At 39.8% G+C, this 24,750-nt stretch overlaps 1 protein-coding gene across 12 annotated transcripts in view; it reads right to left on the minus strand.

Moving 5' to 3' along the window:
- The window catches only part of CTNND2 (catenin delta 2), a 932,611-nt gene that overhangs the window by 353,545 nt on the left and 554,316 nt on the right, over window positions 1-24,750 (minus strand). For 11 of the 12 annotated variants that reach the window (NR_109988.2, XM_017009074.2, XM_017009072.2 and 8 more), the window contains one exon: window positions 20,992-21,247. The exons of the other annotated variant lie outside the window; for it this stretch is intronic. Coding sequence is in view for 10 of the 11 variants with exons in the window: in XM_017009074.2 (XP_016864563.1) it covers window positions 20,992-21,247 (256 nt within the window). In the remaining variant the exon portion in view is untranslated. The remainder of the gene's footprint in view (window positions 1-20,991; window positions 21,248-24,750) is intronic. 12 annotated transcript variants of the gene reach the window in all.

The raw sequence follows: 24,750 nt of genomic DNA on the forward strand, positions 1-24,750 counted from the left end.
ATCATTAGTACACAACTGATCAAGACATATATAATTATAATATACAATTATTAAAGCATACAAATTGTGATATGCAATTATGAATCTTAAACATTATTTTATTGAAAAATACATCTCTTAATGAGTGGAGACAGGGTTTTAAAAATTAATTTATGTATCCATGAATGAATGCTATTTATTGCTAGACTAAGACAGGTCCATATCAATCTCTAAACCTAAGATAAAATTCTAAGCCCTCCAACCGACTGAACTGACCTCCTCTTGGTCAAGGGGACCCTACAGGAGCCTTGAAAATTGAATTCCTGGCCTCATTATACCCCCTCCCTAGCTAACCACCATTAGGCTTTCTTTCCCAAGGGCTAAATAGAAACCAGTACTTTGCAAAGACTCACTCCACCACTCTATCAACCAGCCACCCGATGCTGCCCTTCCCTTTTGTGCTTTTGACAAAGCAACTGGCCAGCATTCCTTCAACATAGGAGACCACTGGCCATGGAGTGGTTCTCGCCAGTCTATGAGGACTGCACCCAAATGGCTTTTGTGTCCTGTTTCACATTCTGATGTTCAGAGCCTAACTGTAGTACATTTAAATGTTGAGTCTCCACCACAAAGTGAACATGGGATGTGTGCTGCATATATGTTAGCCTATTACACACACATGCGCCACCTCTTCGTGAATTTTCATAGCTTCAACTGAAACCTGCTGAATATGTACACCAAGCCACCCTCCCAGCATCAATTCCTGTTCCTTTTACCCCTCCCTTGAAGTGCTTGCTTTTTGGTTTCAACAGGATGCTCTGCTTCTGGCCTGCAGGTTGTGGTACCCTCTTTCACAAATAAAGCCTTCCTTACCAAGTGTATAGATGTGTGACTTCTTTGGTCAACGAATCTATTTCTATCTTTGGTTTTTATAGATGCAAGAGTTGAGAAGGTTTGTCCATAGTAATATGTAGTGAGGTTCCTGGGGAGTCAGAGGCTGGCCTTTATTTGAGAAGAGGGTGGGATTACTGTGAGAGGGACATGGAAAAGAGAGTCAGGGAAGGGCCAGTAGACATTGGCCAAGTGAGTGTCTTGAAACTGATTGGCAGGACCCCTCACCCCTGGGACACACCATCTCAGCCTGAAAGCCACTGATCTACAATGTAAAGGGTACAATTCCTATCTCTAACCCTGTGAAACCATCCTGAACAGAGTTTGCAGTACTGCTGCCTTCTAGGTGTACATTTCTCTCTTCTCCCTCACGAGGCCTGTAATGAGCTGTGTGCCTCCACATCCTCATCCCTTTGCTCCCTGACAGCTCAACCCCAGGTAAGGGTGCCAAACTGCATGACAATGTGTAACAAATGGGAAGGCCTTTTTCAATGAGGCAGAAGGAAAAGAGCTGGGCAACACCGACCTTCAGATCAGGGCATCTTTAACATTGATGTCAATGAATCACAACTGGGGGGTCTTGCTAATGCAGATTCAGATCAGTAGGTGGGTGGGGGCACAGCTGGGATTCTGCATTTCGAACAGTGAACTCTAAGTTTCAAGGTGATGCAGAGGCATCTCCTGGGACGCATGCTCGCTGTAGAGAATGGTCTTACATCTGTCTGTGCATTGGTGACTTCTGATGATTGTCCTCCTAATTGGTAAGGAGCACACACAAGGCACCATCCGATTCCTTGATGACAACCACACAGCATGAAGTGCCTATGTCCAGGGTCCACGTTGAGGCATCTCAAGCTAGAGGGTATGCTACAGGCTGAAGTTAACCAGAGAAGACAGCCGGGATGTGGCTACTGCATTGGGTCAGGTGGAGGTCAAGGGCCAGTGGGAAAGGACAAAGAAGGGTGAGTCAAGCAAGGGAAAGAATAAAGCTTTCAGCAAGTATAAGTGATTCTGGGATGAACAGTCCAGATCCCCAAAGGCAAAGTGGGACAAAGGCTCAGTGGGAGAAAAAAGAGAACTTAGGGGGATTTGGCACGGGCTGGAAAAGGGGTAAGCATTGTTTGAAACCTATGAAAGGCAAGTTGAAACTTTTGACTTTTTAAAGGGAATAGTTCCTGTGAGAAAAATCTAAAAGGTAAATTGTCTTCACAAACTCTATTACAACCTTCTAAAAAGTGAGTGTAAATTTTGTTGATCACATTGTCAACTATATTAAACACCTGGATTCTCAAATCCAGACTTCTGATCAAATAAACGAAAACTCTAAGACTGTTAAGGTCAAGTGATCCTGGGGCCTTATTATGCCACTGATGTTATAATTACAAGCAGATTTACAAGGTCAAACAGGAGTAACATCATAACGTCATAGCTTGGTTTCTAACTTCTGCAATAAACTAAATGTGGTTGTTAAGAGATGTTTCTGATGATAAAATTGGTGATTCAGACATTAATGCGTGCAGAAATCACCCAGGGATCTTGATAAAATGCAGATTCTGATGTAGTAAATGTGAGGCAGGGTCTGGGATTCTGCATTTCTAACCAGCACCCAGGTCTTAGAACCTTATTTCAGATAGCAAGGATCCAGAAAAGGTGTTAACAAGTTTAAGTTTTGGTCAGTCTAGTGTTTGTAATTTTTTAAGTACAATAATATATTTTATGGAAAAATTCAAGATGTGGTAGGCTAGATTTCATTTCTGTGATTTTAAAACCAAAGGAATAAAATGGAAATGACAGTGATTCTTATTCTGTAGAAACCATTTCATTCCCATAAGTGAGTACGTTCACTTTATCAAAGCGCTAGTGATTTATTACATTAGGTTGATTTATACATATGTTTAATGACTTATATGGAAAACTAGAAAAATGACTCTTTTTTCCAAATCTCATTTTCTACATCTTACACAAACCTTTCAAATTTAGAGCAGATAAATGTATATGTGTTGAACTGCATGTTAAATTTTAAACACTACACAAAATTCTTTTTTTTTTTTTTTTTCCTCAAGACAGTATCTCATTCTGTTGCCCAAGCTGGAGTGCAGTGGTGCCATCACGGCTCACTGCTGCCTTGACCTCCCCAGGTTCAGGTGATCCTCCTACCTCGGCCTCTGGAGTAGCTGGGACTACAGGTGCTTGTCACCAGACCTTTTTTTTTGTTGTTGTTTTTTGTATTTTTTGTAGAGATGGGGTTTGTCATGTTGCCCAGGCTGGTCTCAAAATTCCTGGGCTCAAGCAATCTGCCCTTCTTGGCCTACCAAAGTGCTAGGATTTTACAGGCATGAGCCATTGCGTCCAATCCAAAATTCATCTTCAGAAAAGATACATCTATATGAGCAGAATGAATGGCCACTTAATATGCCTCCTTCTGGGCTTTCTCTCAGGGGCTACCATACTCCCAACAGCCCCTCTTTGAAGATCTACACGTGCAGATTATTGCGAAGTCCCACTTCAGCTGAATGCTATGGGAATTCCCACTGACCCACAGACAGCTCTGCCAAGAGCAGGTGAGCTGTGTCCAGTGTGTTTCATACTGGACACCCACTCATGGCTCCAGACTGAGCCTCTTGTATTAGTTTACTGGGCCTGCCCTGCAAAATATCCCAGATTTGGTGCTTAAACAGGAATTTATTTTCTCCCAGTTCTGGAGGCTGGAAGTCCAAGATCCAAGTCCTGGCAGCTTACATGTTTCCTGAGGCCTCTTTCCTTGGCTTGTAGATGAACAAATTCCCACTGTCCTCATGAGGTCTTTCTGTATAACCACATCTCTGACACCTCTTCCTCTTCTTATAAGGACACCAGTCCTATTGAATTGGGGCTCACCCTAATGGCCTCATTTTAAGTTAATCATCCTTCTTTAAAATTTTTTGAGACAGAGTCTTGCTCTGTCACCCAGGCTGGAGTATAGTGGTGCAATCTTGGCTCACTGCAACCTCTACCTCCTGGGTTCAAGCGATTCTCCTGCCTCAGCCTCTGAGTAGCTGGGACTACAGGCATGCGCCACCACACGCGGCTAATATTTATATTTTTAGTAGAGATGGCGTTTCATCATGGTGGCCAGGCTGGTCTCAAACTCCTGACCTCAAGTGATCCCCATCCCTCGGCCTCCCAAAGTGCTGGGATTATAGGTGGAAGCCACCATGCCTGGCCAAAGTTAATCATCTCTTTAAAGCCTTATCTCCAAATACAGTCACATTCTGAGGTACTGGGGGGTTGGGATTTCAACATATACATTTGGGGACAGAATTCAGCCCATAACACCTCTCTTAAGCCAGTCTGAATTCAGAGTGCTACAGTTACCCACACTGGAGAGATGCAGATCTCTGCAGAAGTCCTGTGCAATAGCAGCCCAGGAAGTCAGAGATTGGAGACCAGGAGAGAAGAAGGTGGTCAGAGGGAAGCGTCAGGGTGGCAGGGTCATGAGTGCAGAGGCAGAGACCCACACTGCCAGGCTCTGCAAAGGGGCTCAGCAAATGCCCGATTCTCAGCGCCATCCCCAAGGCTCCTGCCATGGTCCCAAAGCAGCTTTGGTATCCAGCACCGTGATCTGTTTTTCAATGAGACTCGTCTGGCTAAGGTTGCTGAAACAGCTTCCTGTCTCTTTCATACCCCTCTGGAAACTTACAACAAGCTCCTATTGACTGAGATAACCAGAGCTTATTTCATTCCTTGTAGTCTGTAAGTGATTACTGCAGTGAATGAGCTAATGTAGCATGTTACATACAGGAACTTCAGCAGACAGTATGGGCCTGAATGATACACACATCACATGTGGATGTACATAAAGGTCCTGTTGTACGTTGCCTGTGTTGCCTTGATTTTTATTAAAGCAATAGTGTAGGATAATCAGACAGAAACTTGTTTCCTTTTTAAACATGAAAATCTGGCTGGGCACGGTGGCTCACACCTGTAATCCCAGCACTTTGGGAGGCTGAGGCGGGCGGATCACGAGGTCAGGAGATCGAGACCTTCCTGGCTAACATGGTGAAACCCCGTCTCTACTAAAAATACAAAAAAAAAAAAAAAAAAATTAGCCGGGCGTGGTGGCGGGCACCTGTAGTCTCAGCTACTCAGGAGGCTGAAGCAGGAGAATGGCATGAACCTGGGAGGTGGAGCTTGCAGTGAGCCGAGATCACGCCACTGCACTCCAGCCTGGGTGACAGAGAGAGACTCCGTCTCAAAAAAAAAAAAAAAAAAAAAAAAAAGAAAGGAAAACTTATGGTTACAGAGTTCAGGCTGGGTGTGGTGGCTCATGCCTGTAACCCCAGGATTGCAGAAGGGCGAGGCGGGTGGTGGATCACTTGAGGTCAGGAGTTCCAGTCCAGCCTGACCAACATGATGAACCCCCACCCCCTGTCTCTACTAAAAATGCAAAATTTAGCTGGGCATGCTCACTTGAACTGAGGAGGCAGAGGTTGCAGTAGGCCAAGATAGCACCACTGAACTCCCACCTGGGCAACAGAGCAAAACTCTGTATCAAAAAAAAAAAAAAAAAATAGAAAGAGTTCAGCTAACTTATACAGAGCAAGTCCAGCCTGTGTGTGTCTGTGTGTGAGCCTAAGTGTATGGACACTGTTTAGCAAACATACGCAGTGTTTGAGTTCCTAGAGGCCCATTTTACAATATTAGCAATATTGTCTGTTACTTTCAAGCTGATTTATAGTAAATTTAAGTCTGTTAATACTTCAGTCATCTTCAAAACAAAGAACAGCAAATACATAGCAAGGCACCCTACAGAAACGTTTCCGTTTATCTAAAAAATCCCATGCTTTGTATTTTCTTCTTTAATGTCGAAAGCACTTTTACTGCAGCATAGATGTTAATTGCCACTTATCTTAATGAGTTCTTTTCTAATATAACTGAGCCTGGCTTGAAATATAGCAGACTTCTTTGTCAAGAAGAGATAGGGACAAGAGTACTGTTGGTTCCTGGAAGAAAGGGTATGCTTATTTTTTATCTGCTTTCTTTGTGTTGGTTGAAAGCCTTCTGATTTAGCATTTTTGAGGTATGAGTTACTGCTTTCCTCCTCAGTATGAGGGGAAATTAACCCCTGTAGAAGTCAGGAAACAGAACTTTGGTTCTAAAGGCAAAAGGCACAGTAGGAACTCCTGAGGTTGTTAAAATATTAATAGAATTATGTGGTAGCTCATATAATCAGTTACTAAGGGTAATTTTTAATAAAATTTTGGCAGGTCGCTTTCATTTAAATGTGATCTATTTTTAAGTTTATGTAATTTTAAACATGATTATTTTTTATTTATTTCCTAGTTAACATTCCTACCTCATCTTCCCTATGGAAAAGTTTTCAGGGTCCAGAACATACCTGACTATTTGTACTTAGAACATATTTGTTGAGTGAATGAATGAATGAAAATATCTAAAACCCCAAGGCGAGATTTCCCAAATAGCATACACAACTATTTTTATTTTATAGAATAATATTATGTCATTTAATTTAAAAGCTACTTTAGTGGGGAGGAGGGATGGGCAGAGATTGGTCAATGAGTACAAAATTACAGATAAGAGGAATAGGTTCTGGTGTTCTATTGCACACTGGGGTGGCTACAGTTAACAATATTATATGGTATATTTCAAAATAACTAGAAGATTTTGAATATTTTCACTACAAAGAAATCATAAGTGCTTGAGGTGATAGGTAAGCTAAGTACCCTGATTTAAGAATAATGTAGGCCGGGCATGGTGGCTCATGCCTGTAATCCCAGCACTTTGGGAGGCTGAGGTGGGCGGATCACCTGAGGTCGGGAGTTCGAGAGCAGCCTGACCAACATGGAGAAACCCCGTCCCTACTAAAAATACAAAATTAGCTGGGTGTGGTGGCGGGTACCTGTAATCCCAGCTACTTGGGAGGCTGAGGCAGGAGAATCGCTTGAACCTGGGAGGCGGAGGTTTCGGTGAGTGGAGATCGCGCCATTGCACTCCACCCTGGGCAACAAGAGCTAAACTCCGTCTCAAAAAAAAAAAAAAAAAGGTGGGCTTTCGAGCTTCCTACATGGTAGTGGGAGGCACTGTTTTGAAAGGATCAGGATCCATGAGGCCTGGGTGCTGCCTCCCTGGGGATTCATCTCCTGCTCGTCCATGCAGCCTTGGTTTCTGTCTATAGGAGGCAGTGCCTGGCCAGCCTGTAGTTGTCTCCTTCCTTCTATTTATGATGGTAAAATATACATAACATAAAATTTACAATTTTAACTATTTTTAAGTGTACAGTTCCATGGCATTAAGTACATTCATACTGTTATACAGCCATCATCACTAACCATCTCCAAAACTTCTTCATCATCCAAATTGAAATTCTATACCCATTACACACTTCTCATTTCCCCTTCCCACATCCCCAGGAAACCACTATTCTACTTTTGGTCTCTTAGATTTGACTATTCTAGGTACTTCATGTAATTGGAGCATACAGTGATATAATTAAACTGTGTCCCCACACAAATCTCATCTTGAATTGTAGCTCCCATAATTCCCACGTGTCATGGGAGGGACGTGGTGGGAGATAATTGAATTCCCTATACTGCTCTTGTGGTAGTGAATAAGTCTCATGAGATCTGATGGTTTTATAAGGGGAAACCCCTTTCGTTCATTCTGTCTTACCTGCCGCCACGTAGGACATGCCTTTCACGTTCTGTCACGATTGTGAGGCCTCCCCAGCCACGTGGAACTGAGTCCATTAAACTTGTTTGTCTTTATAAATCACCCAGTCCTGGGTATGCCTTTATCAGCAGTGTGAAAATGGACTAATACATATTCATCCTTTTCTATCTACTTTATTTTACTTAGCATGATGTCTTCATGATTCATCCCTCTTGTAGTATGTATCAGAATTTCCTCCCTTCTTACAGCTGAATAAAACTCCATCATATGTATACTGTATACTACATTTTGCAATGGACATTTAGATTGTTTCAACCTTTTGACTTTTTTCTTTTCTATTCTTTTCTTTTTTTTGTTTTTTTGAGGCAGGGTCTCACTCTGTTGCCCAGGCTGGAGTGCAGTGGTGCAATCACAACTCATTGCTGCCTCGACTTCCTGGGCTCAAATGATCCTCCTGCCTTAGTCTTCACAGTAGATAGGACCACAGGCATGTGCCACCACACCCAGCTAATTTTTGTATTATTCTGTAGAGACAGGGTTTTGCCATATTGCCCAGGTTGCTCTTTTTTATTTCGATAAGCAAAGGTAAAGGGAATTCCCCAGATGATATTAGAGGGAAAGATGGATAGTTTTGTGAGATGATCAGTCAGATCAGACATAACAAATCATCATCCCACAAACTTAAAGGCTGGAAACAACAATCTTCACTTATGACACCTCACAGGTTCATAGGAACACCAGATAGGGAAGAGTAGGGATGACCTTCTCTGCTTCACCACGTCTGGGAGCTGACCTGGAAGATCCAAAGGCTCTACTGACCCTGGCGGATTTGCTTGAAAGGGTTTGCTCACTTGGCAGGCAGGTTGACTCCTCACCATGGGCTGTTTGGACGTCCTTAGGACGTCAGCCTGGCTCCCTTACCTTCAGAAGCCACACACTGCCACCCCTATGGCATCCTACTGGTCATACGGGCCAGCTCTGCTTCATTTCGGGCGGGAAGACAGAAAGGTGTGAACCCCAGGAGACCGGGGTCATTGCGGCCATCCTACCACACACTTTATTACTTTAATTCTATGCTGGATGCTAGGTATTGGGAGATTTTTCAGAAATTATTAAGATTTAAATATTATTGCTACTTTGAAAAACTTGAAAATATTGAGGAGATATTATAATTCTAGTCACTCATTCATTTAGCAAACACATTCAAAATGGTAAACATAGGTAAGGTAAAGAAGATAAATGGCCAGGATTTCTTTTTCACACTCACTGGGACACAAATTTTGAATGTTTTCACTGCAAAGAAATCATACACGTTTGAGGTGATGGATAAGCTAAGTAACCTAATTTAATAATGATGTACTATATATGTATAGAAACATCACACTGTAACCCATAAATATATACAACTATTCTATGGCACGTGAGTATCTTAAGGTAATTTTACATTACTCGTTCAGAAAAATAAAGGCTCCATCATTGTGGGTTTCTAAGTCAGTGTTCCAACCACCTGTCTGTAAACCAACTTTCATTTTTTTCATAAGGCCTCTTTTATTCAGTTGAAAAGACTACATCCCAGGCTGATTTCATATCTGTCTTTCCAGTATATTAGGAAGTGCTGGAGGAAATCCTTTGTCAAGTGAAAGACTGGACGCCCTCTGCCGGCATCTCACCTATCCCTTCATATGTAACTAACTTGTGTCTGAATTCCGAAAATGTTGGGAACCACTGGGCTGCATTTCAAAGATGGGGGAGCCACCCTAGGGTCTCACTGTAGCATCCTTCAAGAGCAGATAGATAGGGTAGATGGAGGCCCTCACTTTGGGGGTTTCTTGCAAATGTCTCAGTTAACAAACACATTCCAAACTCCTTCATGTGGAGCTTCATCTCTAAAGAGGCCCCCAAACTAAGGACCCTCCGGTATGGAATTTTAAACAATAAACACATTCAAAGAACAAAGCATATATTGAAGTGTCCCTAGAATACTGAAAAGGTACAATAATGAAAAAGTGAGGATACTTCTGTCATCTTACTCTTCAATGCACTTTAGTACATAAAGCACTGTGTGTGTCAGAGTATAGCCTGCTGAATTTCCCACTGGTATCTTCTTCTCTTTCTTACCTTTCCTCCTTTCCTCCTCCTTCTTGTCTTCTTAGTAGAATTAAGTGCCTGCTAAAGCACACTTGGTTCAGCAACCCAGTTATAGTCGCTGAACATGTTCTTCAGTAGATTCAGTAATTTAAGTTACTAGGATTGTCAAACTTGAAATGCACCATGAGCAATGGGATTTCTGTTTAAAATATATTTTTTACTATAAAATGCTAATCTTCTCCTTATCAAGGTCAGTATCTCCAAATTAATGAGCACTATTAGCTGCAAAACATCTCAAGAAGCAATGGAAATTAATTTTCATTAGTTAAACACTGACAGTCAACTACAACCTGCTTTGTAAGACAATAAATATTTTGAATGCTCCATTTTTGTCCTCAAATGTTCAAAGTCAGATGGTGAAGGAAAATGACTTAGGACATCAAGCCAAATATCAAAACTGGTTTGCACATGAAATAACCAAAGGAGATTTCAGAATTCCACTTGTGGTAGAATAAATAAGGACTTTGAGGATGGATTAATTGAGATATGCTAAAAATAAAACACGTTTCCCATAGTAGTACACATTGAAGAATAAGGGAAGGAAGCTCTTTTAGGAACTGAGGCAGGAGAATAGGGTCTGGCGGCGGGGAACCTAAGGCCAATTCACACTGACTTCCTAGGACTAAATCAAAAGAAAAACCTCAACTTTTCACACCTAAGTAACAAAAGGACCAGAGCCTACTCCCTTTGCAAATTCCCACTCCCTTTTCTGTGTGCCAGATGGAAAATTGAAAATACCTCTGATTGGTTGCTTTCCACAACCAATCAGACTGATTGTGGGCCAAGTCTTTGTTTGCACAGAGGTGTAACTTTGGAAATTCACTTTAGCCTCTGATTGGTTGCTTTCTACAACCAATCAGACATTTGCATAGGATGTAACCTTTGTAACTTCAGCCTCTGATTGGTTGCTTTCCACAACCAATCAGAGGCTGAAGTGGAGTGACAAAGGTTACAATCAGATTTTTGGCCACTATTTCATTTGCATTGGGTGTACACCAAGTGGCTGATGGGAAACCTCTAGAGGGTATTTAACCCCAGAAAATTCTGGAACTGGGCTCTTGAGCCCCTATGCTCAGCCCTGCTCTCACCCTGTGGAGTTATACTTTCATTTTCAAAAATCTCTGCTTTTGTTGCTTCATTCTTTCCTTGCTTTGTGAGTTTTGTCCAATTCTTTGTTCAACATGCCAATAACCTGGACGCTCTCCACTGGTTAACAGAACTGGCCAAGGTCTCTGAAAGGCATAGTGTACTTTGAACAGAACATGAGTTCGAAAGGTTGAACGTGGGTATGTGGATGCCTATTAAATACATAAACACACAACCAGAATGGGCTTTTCAAAAATTTTATAGCTACTATGACTTATCCATACTTCTATAAGGAAAACAAGTCTTGTGTCTAAGTCTGTGAATTTATACTTTTAGTTTTCAACACCCTATCAACACTGATAAATAGAGAAGACAGAAAATCAACACTTTGTTACTGTGTGCCCTTTGTAGCATTAACAAACATGTGCTTATGCAAGGTTTGTATATCTTATCTTTGGATAAATGCATGCAGAGCCAATAAACAGATGGATTACATGTATATATAAATACATGTGTTTATACACATGTGTACACATACTACATAGATACATATACACACATTATTTATCATCTGTATGCCACATAGACAAATTATGTGTGTATATGTATGTATACAAATAGTATATCTACATATAATTTATGTGTACATACAAATGCTCATATCACACAAATACACTCATAATCTATATGGCACAAACACACACACACACACACATAACTTTCTTTAATAAAAGTCTAAGGCTGTCAAGATTATCCCTAGAGGAAGACAGTCCCTGAGGAATGATTGACCCAGTGAGCCAATTTTGTCACCTGAATTTTTTTGGTTTCCCTCTCTCTGGTGAGGGTTCCACAACGTGGGAACCAACTTTGGGTAGCAGGGGTGCTGTCCTCCATGTTCACAATCTTGTTCAAGACTAGACCCACAAAATCTTCCTTTGATACCTTTTGAAGCACAGAACCTTCTTTGCATTCCTTCGAAACCACTTCCCAGAACTCTAAAAGATATCAAGCAGGAAATAAATGGGAAGCACACGGATTTTAAATACAATCTGTGCATCCAACTGGAGTGTTTAGATTTCACAACTTCCTCTCTGGAATTACAAGCCACTCTAATTCTCCATGAGATTCCAGGGAAAGAGGCTCCCTTGTTTTTGGTTCTCAGCTGACTTCCAAGAGGTGCCATTTTTAATATTCACTCTCCTTTTGTGCTCTTAAACATTCTGACCATTTTTTTCAAATGCAGATGAAGAGAGAGATTTACTTCCCCCACCTACCAAGGACCTTTCTTCTCATTTGCAGTCTTTGATATCTGTTTCATCACAAAATGGTACAAGGAACAATTCCACCTGCAAGACCCCATTCTCCTTCCAGTATGAGAATATCTAAATCCCATAGATAACACATGCATATCACACATACATCATATACAATATCATCAGTAAAATGACAGAGATTAACCACGAAAGAGGAAGTAATACAAATTACTGATAAAGCTATAAACTTAAAGCATAATGACAACATTGCGGATAATTATTTGAGAATTCAGTAGATTACTCCTTTAAAGCACTACCTGCTTTTTTTTAATGTGTTATCACTGTACTTAGCATTATTGGGGACCTTAAAATTCATTAAGTTCTGACTTCTACTGATCCAAGATACCCTTGATACTGGACATTATCATCAGATTTAGTGTCTCCAATAAGCTTATTTTGTAAAAATTTCATGCTACTTTAATTATTGCATGGTACTTCTCAGTTGCTTTAAATTAGAGGAAAGATAATATATCTGTTCCTGGAACAGGGGATATAGTGGACTTCAGGTAGAAAGGTTAAAAAAGAAAGTTCTGGAAAGATGGAATAAGCAAATATGATGGATCCACTTGTAATTCATCAGAGACACAAGCTAAGTGACCCAGGACATCTTAGTTCCTGGCTTTTTAATGGAGACCAAATATAAGAAACACAACCACAGGTAGGGAGTGAACAAGGTGTGTAGCAGGGGTGTTAGGGAGGGTGAACTACACTGAGAAGGAGGCGAACATGTGAAAGTCGCTTTAGCTGCTATATGTTGGCTCTAGCTAGCTTGGATTTGGCTTTTTGCCCCCAAGTGATGTAGGGAAGCCCAGAATGCCTGGAGCCCACTTTAGAGAACTGGAACATGGGTCTCACAGACCTCTCTGCAGTCCTCGAGGCCCTGGCTAGGAGTGGGGACCCCATGGGTTGTCAGCTCTTGGGCCAAGTATGAGATCCACACTCACCTTCTGAACTTGGGGTACAGTCTGTTTTACTGATAGCACATGGATTTGGAAGAGAAGAGGCTCGTTCCCTAGAGGAAGGTCTGTATACGAGAGCACAAAACGGATTTCCACCATCGCAAAGGATGGGGTATTTGCTAACGAGGAATTAAGTAACTAGTACTTTGGGTAGGACTATGCATCAGGCATGATTGCCTGTCTCTCATTACTCTTGACCACATGATATCATGGAGGCCCCTATGCCAGAACCTGCCTTAGTATAAATTAGGTGGGTATATTTAGGTAGCATTAGAAATGAGTTGTTATTTTGGAATGCAATTGTTTATTATAAGTACTGAAAAAAATCAATATTATCACAGACAAATACTGTGTGTGAACATTACTTTCTTTTAAACTGATAAAAGAACTCTTGAAAAGGAAGTTTTATAAAACAAAAAGGTCTTTTTGCCTTGGAGTCTTCTCTCCCTTCTTCCTATCTTCCCTCTTGGCTATGAGGGCTGAGTACACAGTTCCTTCATTTTTTTTTTTTTTTTTTTTTTTTTTTTTTTTTGAGACGGAGTCTCGCTGTCGCCCAGGCTGGAGTGCAGTGGCGCAATCTCGGCTCACTGCAGGCTCCGCCCCCTGGGGTTCACGCCATTCTCCTGCCTCAGCCTCCCGAGTAGCTGGGACTACAGGCGCCCGCCACCTCGCCCGGCTAATTTTTTGTATTTTTAGTAGAGACGGGGTTTCACCGTGTTAGCCAGGATGGTCTCGAACTCCTGACCTCGTGATCCACCCGCCTCGGCCTCCCAAAGTGCTGGGATTACAGGCGTGAGCCACCGCGCCCGGCCCAGTTCCTTCATTTTTTAATGAGCTTTCATTAAACAGCCTCATTTTTTAAACAGCCTCATTTTTTAATGAGCTTTCAAAGTTGTGTGAGAGGGAAAGGGACATCTACAAATGACCATCATGCTATGGGGAAATAAGGCAGATGTGACAAAAGCAGTACCGCGGGAGGAGGTGAGGGCTGGTACATGGTGAGGAACAGATGGTATTGCCACAGGAAAAACTGAATTTGAAGGGAAATGGTCCTGCTGACACCTTGATTTCAGACTTCCAGCCTCCAGAACTGTGAGATGATAAGTTTCTCCTGGTTTATGCCACCCACTTTGTGGTAATCTATTATGGCAGCCACTATGGTCTGAATGTTTGTGACCCCCTAGATTTGTAGGCTGAAACCTAATCACAAATGTGATGCATTAGGAGGTGGAGATGTTGGGAGGTGACTAGGTTATGGGGGTATAGCTCTCATTGATGGGATTAGTGCCCTTTTAAAAGAGACCCCACTTTGTGAGGACACAGAGAGAAGGCACCATCTCTGCAGAAAGAGCCCTCACTAGACACACAGTCTGTTGGCACCTTGATCTTGGACTTCCCAGACTCTGGAAGTGTAAGAAATAAATTCTTTTCATATCAAGCTACCCAGAGATATTTTTCTTATGGTAGCCCTAATGGGCTAAGACAGCAGCCCTAAGAAATTAATACACTATGGTTATAATTTATAAGTTAAACAAATCCACATATTGGAAGTGCAAGCTTTCAAGTTACCACTTTGTCCTGATTTGGGTGGGTGGACAGGGCATTCAGAGACAGCTGCCCTCTGTAGCCCAATATCCCAACTGAGCCAGGCCTGAGTGTTCCCACTGGCTACCCTCCTCCATTTCCAGACCTCTTTTCTTTTTAACTGTCCTCTTTACCTGGAAAGCTTTATCTCAGTTCTTCCTGTGGCAATACCATCTGTTCCTCACCATGTACCAGCCCTCACCTCCTCCCGCGGTACCGCTTTTGTCACATCTGCCTTATTTCCCCATAGCATGATGGTCATTTGTAGATGTCCCTTTCCCTCTCACACAACTTTGAAAGCTCATTAAAAAATGAGGCTGTTTTCAGGCTCTTAGATCTGCAGCACCCACTCTGGAATCTTCCATGGAAAAGCCATCTAGAAGATAGTAATGCCTTCAGATGGATTCAGAGGGAGAGGTCCTGAGGAGTGAGGGCTGCAGGCTCCATCCTGGGGCCAGGATGTACCTGGATACAACCTCGCTGAGGACACATATGTCTGATTTTCCCATTTCAAAGGATGTGGAGCAGTGTTTATAATTATACTGGATAACAAAATTGGGACCCAAAAAAGATTTCTATAGTATCAAATAATGGAATCACTCTACAAGAAGTGAATGTAAAGTTCTTCATTTATGTTAAAAAGAAAATTCCAGATAAGATCAGTGATTCATAGTTTTGCAGAAGTTGCCTGTGAAAAGACTTGGCATTTTGTTTGATTCTACAGCTCAAATAGGTATGAATGTCCATTACAATTAGAAACACGAGACTGAAAGTCAGATTTGGGTTCTGTTTCCACCTCTCTGAGCCTCAGTTTCCCCACATGTAAAATAGGTATTATAAAAAGTCATGTGATAGAGATTTTGGGATGATTAAATTAGATAACGAATATAAAATATTCAACACTGAGCATGGAACTTAATAATTAACTTTCATCATCATTGTTATCATCAACACTGTTATAAACATTGTTGTCATCTTACTGTCAAGAAACCCTAAAGTGAACCCAGGTTTGCCCAAAGTAACACTTACTCTCTTTCTATACTTGCTGGTGATGTGTGAAGCATAATTTGGAGGGACATCAGCCACTGTTGGGCCCAGAAGTGACAGCTCATGGAACAATGGCAGCTAGCACAGGGGCAGGAGCCTTGGGCCTGGGAGTGAGGTGCAGGAACTGTCTCCCAAGGCCACTCTTTGAAAAAGGGATAGGTGTATTCTCAAACGATTTCAAAGGTCAGAAACAAGATCAGTGAAGGAACTTACAAAAGATGCAGATTTCTGTATCAATATAAACTAGTGCATAAGGCTTGGATTACTCAAAGAAAAATAAAATGGTTCAAGAGATGGTGAGGGGCCTGTTGCTCAAGGCATTCAAGCAGGGGCTGAATGGCAAGGTTTTGGGATTGCTATTAGCTCAACTGATAAACGACCTCCGGCACTCTTCAAACTCCAGAAGTCTTTAAGTTGTGAATCCAGTATTTCTCCCCTTGGATATTTCCTCAGTTAAATAAATAATTAGTGAGCATTTGAAGTTAAAAGCAAACTACCCAGAGATTCATCACCTGAGAGAATTGGACCCTGAAAAATATGATATGTGGTTTACTGCAAACATTTCAGCCATGTTATTTGAGTTACATGGTAACAAGTTACATAATACTGTTTAAACTTTAATATTTAAAAAATATTCTTCAAGTCTTCATCTTTTTAAAAGCATTTTTATGCCAGGCACTGTAGCTCATGCTTGCAACTCCAACCCTATGGGAGGCCAAGGCAGGAGGATCACTTGAGTCAGGGAGTTCAAGACCAGCCTGGGCAGCACAGCAAGACCCCTTCTCTAAAAAAAATAATAAAAACAATTTAACCAGGCTTGTGGCCAGCCTGTAGTCCCACCTACTTGGGAGGCTGAGGTGGGAGGATCATTTGAGCCTGGAAGTTTGAGCCTGCAATGAGCTAGGATCACACCACTGCACTCCAGCCTGGGTGACAGGGCAAAACCTTGTCTCAAAAAATAAAAGCATTTTTATAGTATATTTTGTTTCCTGAGCTTTCAATTCACTATATATGCATGCGCGTGGGTGTGTGTGTGTGTGTCCACATGTGCACATGCGTCGTGAACAGTTAAAAAAAGAAAAAGCAGCATTTGGAAAACATTCTTTACCAAGGTTTACCTAGTAGTAAAATATTTATAAGTAATATTCATTAATGAGATTTAACAATAAAGTGTCCAACAATAAGATAAATGTTGTTACTATTTCGAAACAGCACACAAAATATAGTGGAAATGTATACATAATTCCTTAAAAGTGCATATTGTCATACTCTTAGTCAAATTTTGCGGTTTGAAACGGAACAAATCCATGGAGTGAGTTTGATAGAGCCGACTGAAAGTGCAGCTGCTATAATTTGGGCCCAGCATCAGCATTAAAAATGTGCCATTGTATGTATTCCTGTTATGATGAATAACAAAATAGAAGATAGTGTTCTATTGCAAATCACATTCATAAAAAGTGAGATTCTTTAAGCATGTTTGAAAAACTGCTTTCGAGATAGTGTACACCAAGGATTACAACATCTCAAAAAGGGATTAATCAAACACGATTAAAAGTTGCTATTACTGCTACAATTTACACATTATGTCAGTAATATATCTTAACCATGACTTTTATTATTTGATAGACAAGACAGTTATAATACCCTTAGTATATCTGGGTATATCAGTCTTGCTGTGTTTTTTTCCATTTGTTTCATCATCAAATTTTCAAAATGAGAATGCTTTTGTGACTTATCACTACCAACATGACTGACACTTCTTTCATATAATTTAAGAGTTATATTTGACTTTCATGTTTAAAAACAACAGTATATAGAACTCAATAGCTGGTGTAGTACCTACAAATATATTAGCTATGATAACAATCCTTAAGAGATTCACATTTTATGGAAAATAACATACAATTACAAATAAAATCTTCTTAGCAAATGGGGCTGTAAAGGGAATTTTACAGGTTTAAAAATGATCTCAGTGACTGCTGGCTTTACAAAGAAAATTGGATAAGACATTTCTGTGGGTTTTCTGTTGGCATATAGGATGACTAGTCAAAAGAGAAAAGACCAAAGCTTTGCCACAATCCAAATGACTGAGCCAACCATCAACAAGAAAATCCCAACCCCTCAGAACCAATCCTTTTGTATCCTATGACTTAGAGTCACAGAAAGTCAATATGGCTTCTCTGGTTTCAAGTCTAATGATGAAGTGGAACTGCCATGACTTCAAATTATTATTTCAAAATGCAGTATTTGCTTAAACACTTCTCACTGAATAATACTAAAACTCTCTAACAGAGAAGAGATACTGGTCTACAATAAGAAAAATAAGGTAGATGCCGGAAATGAAAAATATAACAAAGACCACACATCCAATAAGCAATCGATCAGGGATGCCAGAACTACTTAGACAATTTCCTTCATTCTTCCCAACTCCTACACAGATACTGGTACTGCCATTCATCCTCTGAAAAAAAATCATAAATATACTCTTTCTTTTTCCTTTTTCTTTTTTGTAAAGAAATAAAAATGTTCGTGCCAACATGTGCTGCAGTATGGATTCAATATGTGCTAACAATGTAGATGTAGGTCCGCACACTCACCTGGCACCAATGCATTTTCAAGAAGTCATTTAACATTCTGATTCTGCATTTATTTAAGGCATTAAATATGGGATATCAGTTTCTGCTCACAAAGGAGGATTACATCAAAGATGTAAGTAAGCCTACTTTGAAGATTGTAATGTGCTATAAACATATGTTTATAATGATAAAGAGGCTTACATAGCCTGGTGTTTGGCAGTAAATAAAATGTTAACAAATTCTCTTAAATATATGTAAATATATTTCAAAAGCTTGAAAACATTGAAAAGATTTAAATAATAAGCCATAACGCCAAAATAAATAAGTGTGAGCCCTAGAAGTTAAACATATTAGTTCTGGTAATATTCACCTATGAGGAATCAAATTATAATATTTAAGGGAAAATGCAAAAATCTTGTCTTAAAAGAATTACTATATTTTGGACCTGAAGTTTAAATTTGGCACGTCTCTCCATTAAATAAAAACATGTTGCCGGGCGCGGTGGCTCACGCCTGTAATCCCAGCACTTTGGGAGGCCGAGGCGGGTGGATCACGAGGTCAGGAGATCGAGACCACGGTGAAACCCCGTCTCTACTAAAAATACAAAAAATTAGCCGGGCGCGGTGGCGGGCGCCTGTAGTCCCAGCTACTCGGGAGGCTGAGGCAGGAGAATGGTGTGAACCCGGAAGGCGGAGCTTGCAGTGAGCGGAGATCGCGCCACAGCACTCCAGCCTGGGCGACAAAACGAGACTCCGTCTCAAAAAAAAAAAAAACATGTTGAGACATTCCTTAATTTTAAGAAAACCCGACAAGAAAGGTATTATATTACTACACTTTATGCTCCATACATTTTGCATGATGCCAGATAATGAATCCCTTTTATAATAAACCACAATAGTCCAGTTCTGGTTCTAGATTTGTTTTTTCTTTTCTTTTCTTTTTTTTGGGGGGTCTGTGGGTCTGAGCTCAGGATGAACTTATAATTCATATAGCACTAATCTGCATACAAATTTGACGCATACAAAAGCTTAGTGGTCAATATTCTCTTATTCATTCTAACCCTTCTTATTGGTGTTTTTCTTTTTTGGTTTATAGCAGGCACTCAATAAATATAAGTGACATAATCCATAACTTGAAAAGGTAAGAGCTGTGTCAATATATTGAGAGAAGAAAAAAGGCTGTAAAAATGACAGTAACATAAAATGGAAAGGATACGCCATTTAATAAAATAAAATGCATTTAATACACAGTATTAAATACAGAAGCTATGCTACAGCTAGAGAAATATAATTTGGTTTCTTATTAAGCTAAATTCCTAATATGAAAATTTAAAGTATTTCCATCAGAGATAAAATGTTTATTGTCAATTTAAACCTCCTATGTTAAATATAAACAATGTCAAATCACATATTTTTGTCTTTTAGCATTTCTTAAGGGTTCACTATTACGCTATTTCTACACATTTTCAGTAGCATATCAAGAAAGATTATTTTAAAATAGGGAATATGTTGAGGTATTTTCTGATGAATACGCTTGCCATACATGCCAAGAATACTTAAGGATCTGGGGCAGGTTTCAGGACCAAGACTATAAAGAGTGCTGTTGAGACTGAAAATCTAGATAACCAGTACACTGAACATAGTAAACAAAAGAATGCTTCCGATTTCTGGTAGATAACAGTAAGCACTTATTACAATTCACTTTTTCAATGGTGTTATACCAAATACAATATTTAACATGGACCTTCCAAGCAGGTTTGAATTGTGCTAAAGTAGCTATCTCAACGTAAACCATAAAATGATCCCATTCTGCCTTTTATATTTGCAGAAGTGATTTCTTTTTGCAAAAAAATCTATTCCAACCCCTCAATACAGTACACAGGAACTTGCGTGCTCCATCAGTGAAAATTCCTTGAGATGAATTTTAAGTACAAGACCAGAGTCAAGCCACCTGCCCTGCCATAAAGAAATATCAGCAATCTGACATATCAACAGTATTCACAGATGCAGATATATATATTTATGGGACTCTATCAGCATAAATCCAATGGCTATGAATAAAACATCCTTTAACTCTACAGGGACTCAAATCCAACTTTACAAGCAGAGCATTGCTAAACCCCTTGCCACTGATGGAAAAAAGAAAGAAAGAAAGAAAAAACAGCAACAACAACCACAAAAAAAAACCTCCATAACAACAATTTCTCTAATATATTATGCTCACATTTTTATCAGTCTTTAAACAACTTCATCCTAATGTTTATTTTCAGACATAGAGAAATGAAGGCCATGTAAAATTTCTAAATTTTCAATTTTACTATAGCTTGGAAGGTGTACCCCTTTGCAATCTGATAAATAGAAATACGCATGATGACAAAGCATACTTCCACTGAGACAATAAAATATGTAGGCCATGATATCTGAAGTCAAATGACATAGCCTCCAGTCCCCAGTTTCCCCTGTATTAAAGACGGCTGTTTACATCTCATCAAGTAGCTAAACATCAAGCACATATAGATACTCTGATCAAAAGATCATCTCTGTTTTTGGTGATGAACCACCAAAGATACTAGGGATCCATTGCAAGCACACACATTCCAAGTCAAACAAAAGAAAACCCAAGAAAAGCCAACCCTTTAATAGTCAGTGACATAAATGCAACATGACGTGAAATAAATTACAGTACCAGGTTACAAAACCTCTTTAGACATCATAGGGAAAGAAAAAGGTTTTTACCCACCTGGGATCTTTCTGAATGCTATCAATGGACGGGGACCTGGCCAAGGTGCCTTCAGGCGGGAGAGCAGGGCCGGATTTGCTGTATGGAGACTCAACAGAGGGACAATACTGCAGCTGTCGGTAGGGGTCCGCGTAATTGGAGGCTGGGCCGGCGGCATAGCTGGCCCTCTGGAAGGTGGCCGCGGCGGCATTCTGTGGGCCGTGCTGGCTGCCTGTGCGCTGCAAGGGGACGGAGTCGACACCAGGGGAAGATGGGGCTACGACAGGAAAGTAGGGACAAAGTAAAAAATTGAGGACCTGCTCACAGAAATGGTTAACCAGGTCTAGGCAGGGGCAGGGGAAGTTACACACATAAAAAATAGGGGGTTCAAAAGAATAAAAAAAATTAATCCATCATATTTGAACCAATACATTCAATGTTATCCAGTCAAATGATAATTAGCATGCCTAAGAGACAAACCTTTCAGGTATGGGGGGAATGCATCTGTTGTGTGTATATCGCTTACCTACATCCAACAGAAGGTGTGTTCAGCTGCAATATAAACTTTGTGCATAAGAAGAAATATAGAGAATACTTTCTAAGGAGGCATGGGAAGTTAATTCTTCATTTTCAAGTTGAGAAGATTCAGAATGTGTTCCGGTAATGTTATATTAACTTTATTAAAGATGTAAAATGAATTCAGTAATGTAATTAGTAATGTAGTTAATTTTCTTGAATCAAAGAAAATAAGAAGAAATGAGAGGGAGTGTATGCATGGGGGTGGAGGTGAGAAGAGGTGGGGTTCACATCTCCATAATTAGCACCAGAACATTCAATCCATGACTGCTCTAGTTTTTGTAAAGTAACTCCCGAAAGATTTTTATATGCCTCTTTTTCAAGTGAAGCTGTCACAGAAACAAACACATTTGGTGAAGGGAGAATAAGGCCAAAACCAACCCAACTGCAAGGCAGACAAAATAAGGAGCTGACTTAGCTTTTCTGAAAGTATTTGCATCTTCTCAATGTGTCTAAATTGTTTTGAGAAGATTTTACACTAGTTACTAAAATCAGTTTGACTATTTTGAAACTGAATTTCAATTTTTTGTTTCCCTCTTGGATTCTTTTTAGATCCTTTCATGTCATTATTTTTATCTGGTTCTCAAAATATATTTGACATCTAAGGTTTGGTTGATAGATACAATGAAAATAGCATCTTTCATTTCAGTAGAATATGACCAGTTATTAACTGCTTTAGACTGCTAGTCATGATCAACAGCAGACAGCCCACTTGCTTTCTGGTGCTGTAGAACAGACTTCATATCCAAAATACAGCCAGTGGCTAGATAGGACCATTTATGACATGGGTGCTCTATGGGAATTAGGTTCTAATTATCAATTATACATCTCTGACTTCCTAACCATTTCTTAGTGAACAATGATAGAGCTTATTTTATCCTCTTTTACATTAGGGGACATATACCAAATCAGACACAAAGGACATTATGTCATGCTGAGAAAATAATTATTAAAAGAGGTAAGGAAATTGTGTCGAAATGATGAAAATCTGCAAAGTGAATGGGAGGAATACACTCTAATACCGAGGATTGACTTAAGAGTTCAGGGCTCTTCTTTCCCAGTGAACTTTCAAGACTTCATCTTAGAATTACAAAAATTTAGGAAATTAGGTTCCGTGACATGACAAAAATGACAAAAATATTTAAGAGAAACTTTATAAACAAAAAGTGCATATATTCCCAGAGGGACAATATTTTGAAATAACGAAGGTTGTCCTGATGTGTTAAGTCTCAAAATAATCAGATTAGGCTAATAAACATTAACTGCACAATCAGAAAATCCGCTTTATGTCCTTATGCAAGTCCTTGAGGATTTATCGTTTCTCCAAAGTATTACCAGCATGTGTAATTAAAATCCACATTTTAAAATTTATGCATAATGTGCCTTATATTATGCTGAAAGGGGTTTAAAACAGGCAAGTCATAAACTTGCTCTTGGATGAACAAATGTACAGAGGTAAACAAAATTTCATTTTCTACAAGTTGTGATAAGCTAGCCAGAAAATCAAGGGCAAAAAAAAAAAAAAAAAAAGAAAAAAGAAAACTAAGTACATCTGGCATTTTTCATAGATGTGCATTTTTTTCCATTCAGAAAACTAAGTATCAACATTTAATCTTGCTGAAAATGGTTTTCAGGAAAGAAATAGTTTTCTATGCAAAATCATTTGCTATTAATGTATTCAATACAATGATTAAAGTGTCAGAGATCAGGAAATAATATTGAAATCTAAAGAAGTCTTTTTGTTAAGAAAACAACAGAGTAGGTAAGGAGAACAATTTGACTACCCACACAAAAAACTCTCAAAGGACCATGAATTAAAAGAAAATATAACAAGAAAGAGTTTAAGAAAAACTCTGCCAAGCAGCAGACAATAAATTATAAATCATGTAAGAGGGACTGGTTCAAAATGTGAAAATAGGGTGGGAAATTCAATTAATTAAGCAGAAACAGGAAGGCAACATCTTGGTATGTATGCAGGAAGAAAAGGTAGAAAAAAGTTTATGAATGTTATTGGGTTCCTATTTATATTTCACTTTAGACCCTTTCAGGGAAATGTCCTGGAGCTCTTTTAGAGCTTGGTTTCTAAAGGTGGAGAACTGGTTCCTGTCCTGGCCTTTTGGTCAGTTCTTGGCACTGGACAGATTTACCGAGCTCTCCAAGCTCCAGTTTCAGTGTTATTGAAGAGAAAAAATGGCTTCATGGGATCATTGTTTAATTTCAACCCAGGAAAAGTGTTAAATAACTCATATGGAGAAAATATTAAACAAATAAATTATTAATATTATTACCATTAATGATGTTGAAATCAACCGACAGTAGGAAAGGGGATTGTACACTTGGCATTGGGGAGAAAGGCCCTTTCACTGGGTGTCAGACTATATAGCTCCTTTTGAGTGCTGGGCTCTGTTGTAAGTGCTTTATTTGTATAAATTCATGTTTTCTCCAACAGTCCTATAAGAGAGTATACACATCATTTTCACCTTACAGACAGGAAACTGAGGCTCAGAGAGATTAAGAAACTAGCCGGCAGTCAGCTGATATTAATAAAAAAGGAATTGAAGTCCTCGGAGTTGGTTTCTAGAGTTCATGCTCATAGACACCATGGCTACCAGGGCAGGTTTAAAACCTCAAAGCTGTAGATTATTGAATTACCTAATACGGTCAGAAAACTTAGAAAAACGGTGAGGCCTGAAACGAAAGGAAATGTCTACTAAAGGTACAGAGAAGAGATGGGTTCACTAAGGAATTAACAACCTGAATATTATATTGAAAAATATTACAAACTCGTATGCTAACTAATTTACACTATTTCTCATTACATTTACACTATTTCTCTACTAAAGGTAACAGATAAAAGATGGGTTCACTAAGGAATTAACAACCTGAACATTATGTTGAAAAATATATTACAAAATTGTTATGTTAACTAATCTACACTATTTCTCATTACATTTACACTGTTTCACTTTGGGAGGCTGAGGTAGGCAGATCATGAGGTCAGGAGTTCCAGACTAGCCTGGTCAATGTGGTGAAACCCCATCTCTACTAAAGACACAAAACATTAGTCGGGCGTGGTGGCACGTGCCTGTAATCCCAGCTACTAGTGAGGCTGAGACAGGAGAATTGCTTGAACCCGGGAGGCGGAGGTTGCAGTGAGCTGAGATCGTGCCATTGCACTCCAGCTTGGGTGGCAGAGCAAGACTC

The sequence above is a fragment of the Homo sapiens genome, chromosome 5 (assembly GCF_000001405.40).
Source record: "Homo sapiens chromosome 5, GRCh38.p14 Primary Assembly".
NCBI lineage: Eukaryota > Metazoa > Chordata > Mammalia > Primates > Hominidae > Homo > Homo sapiens.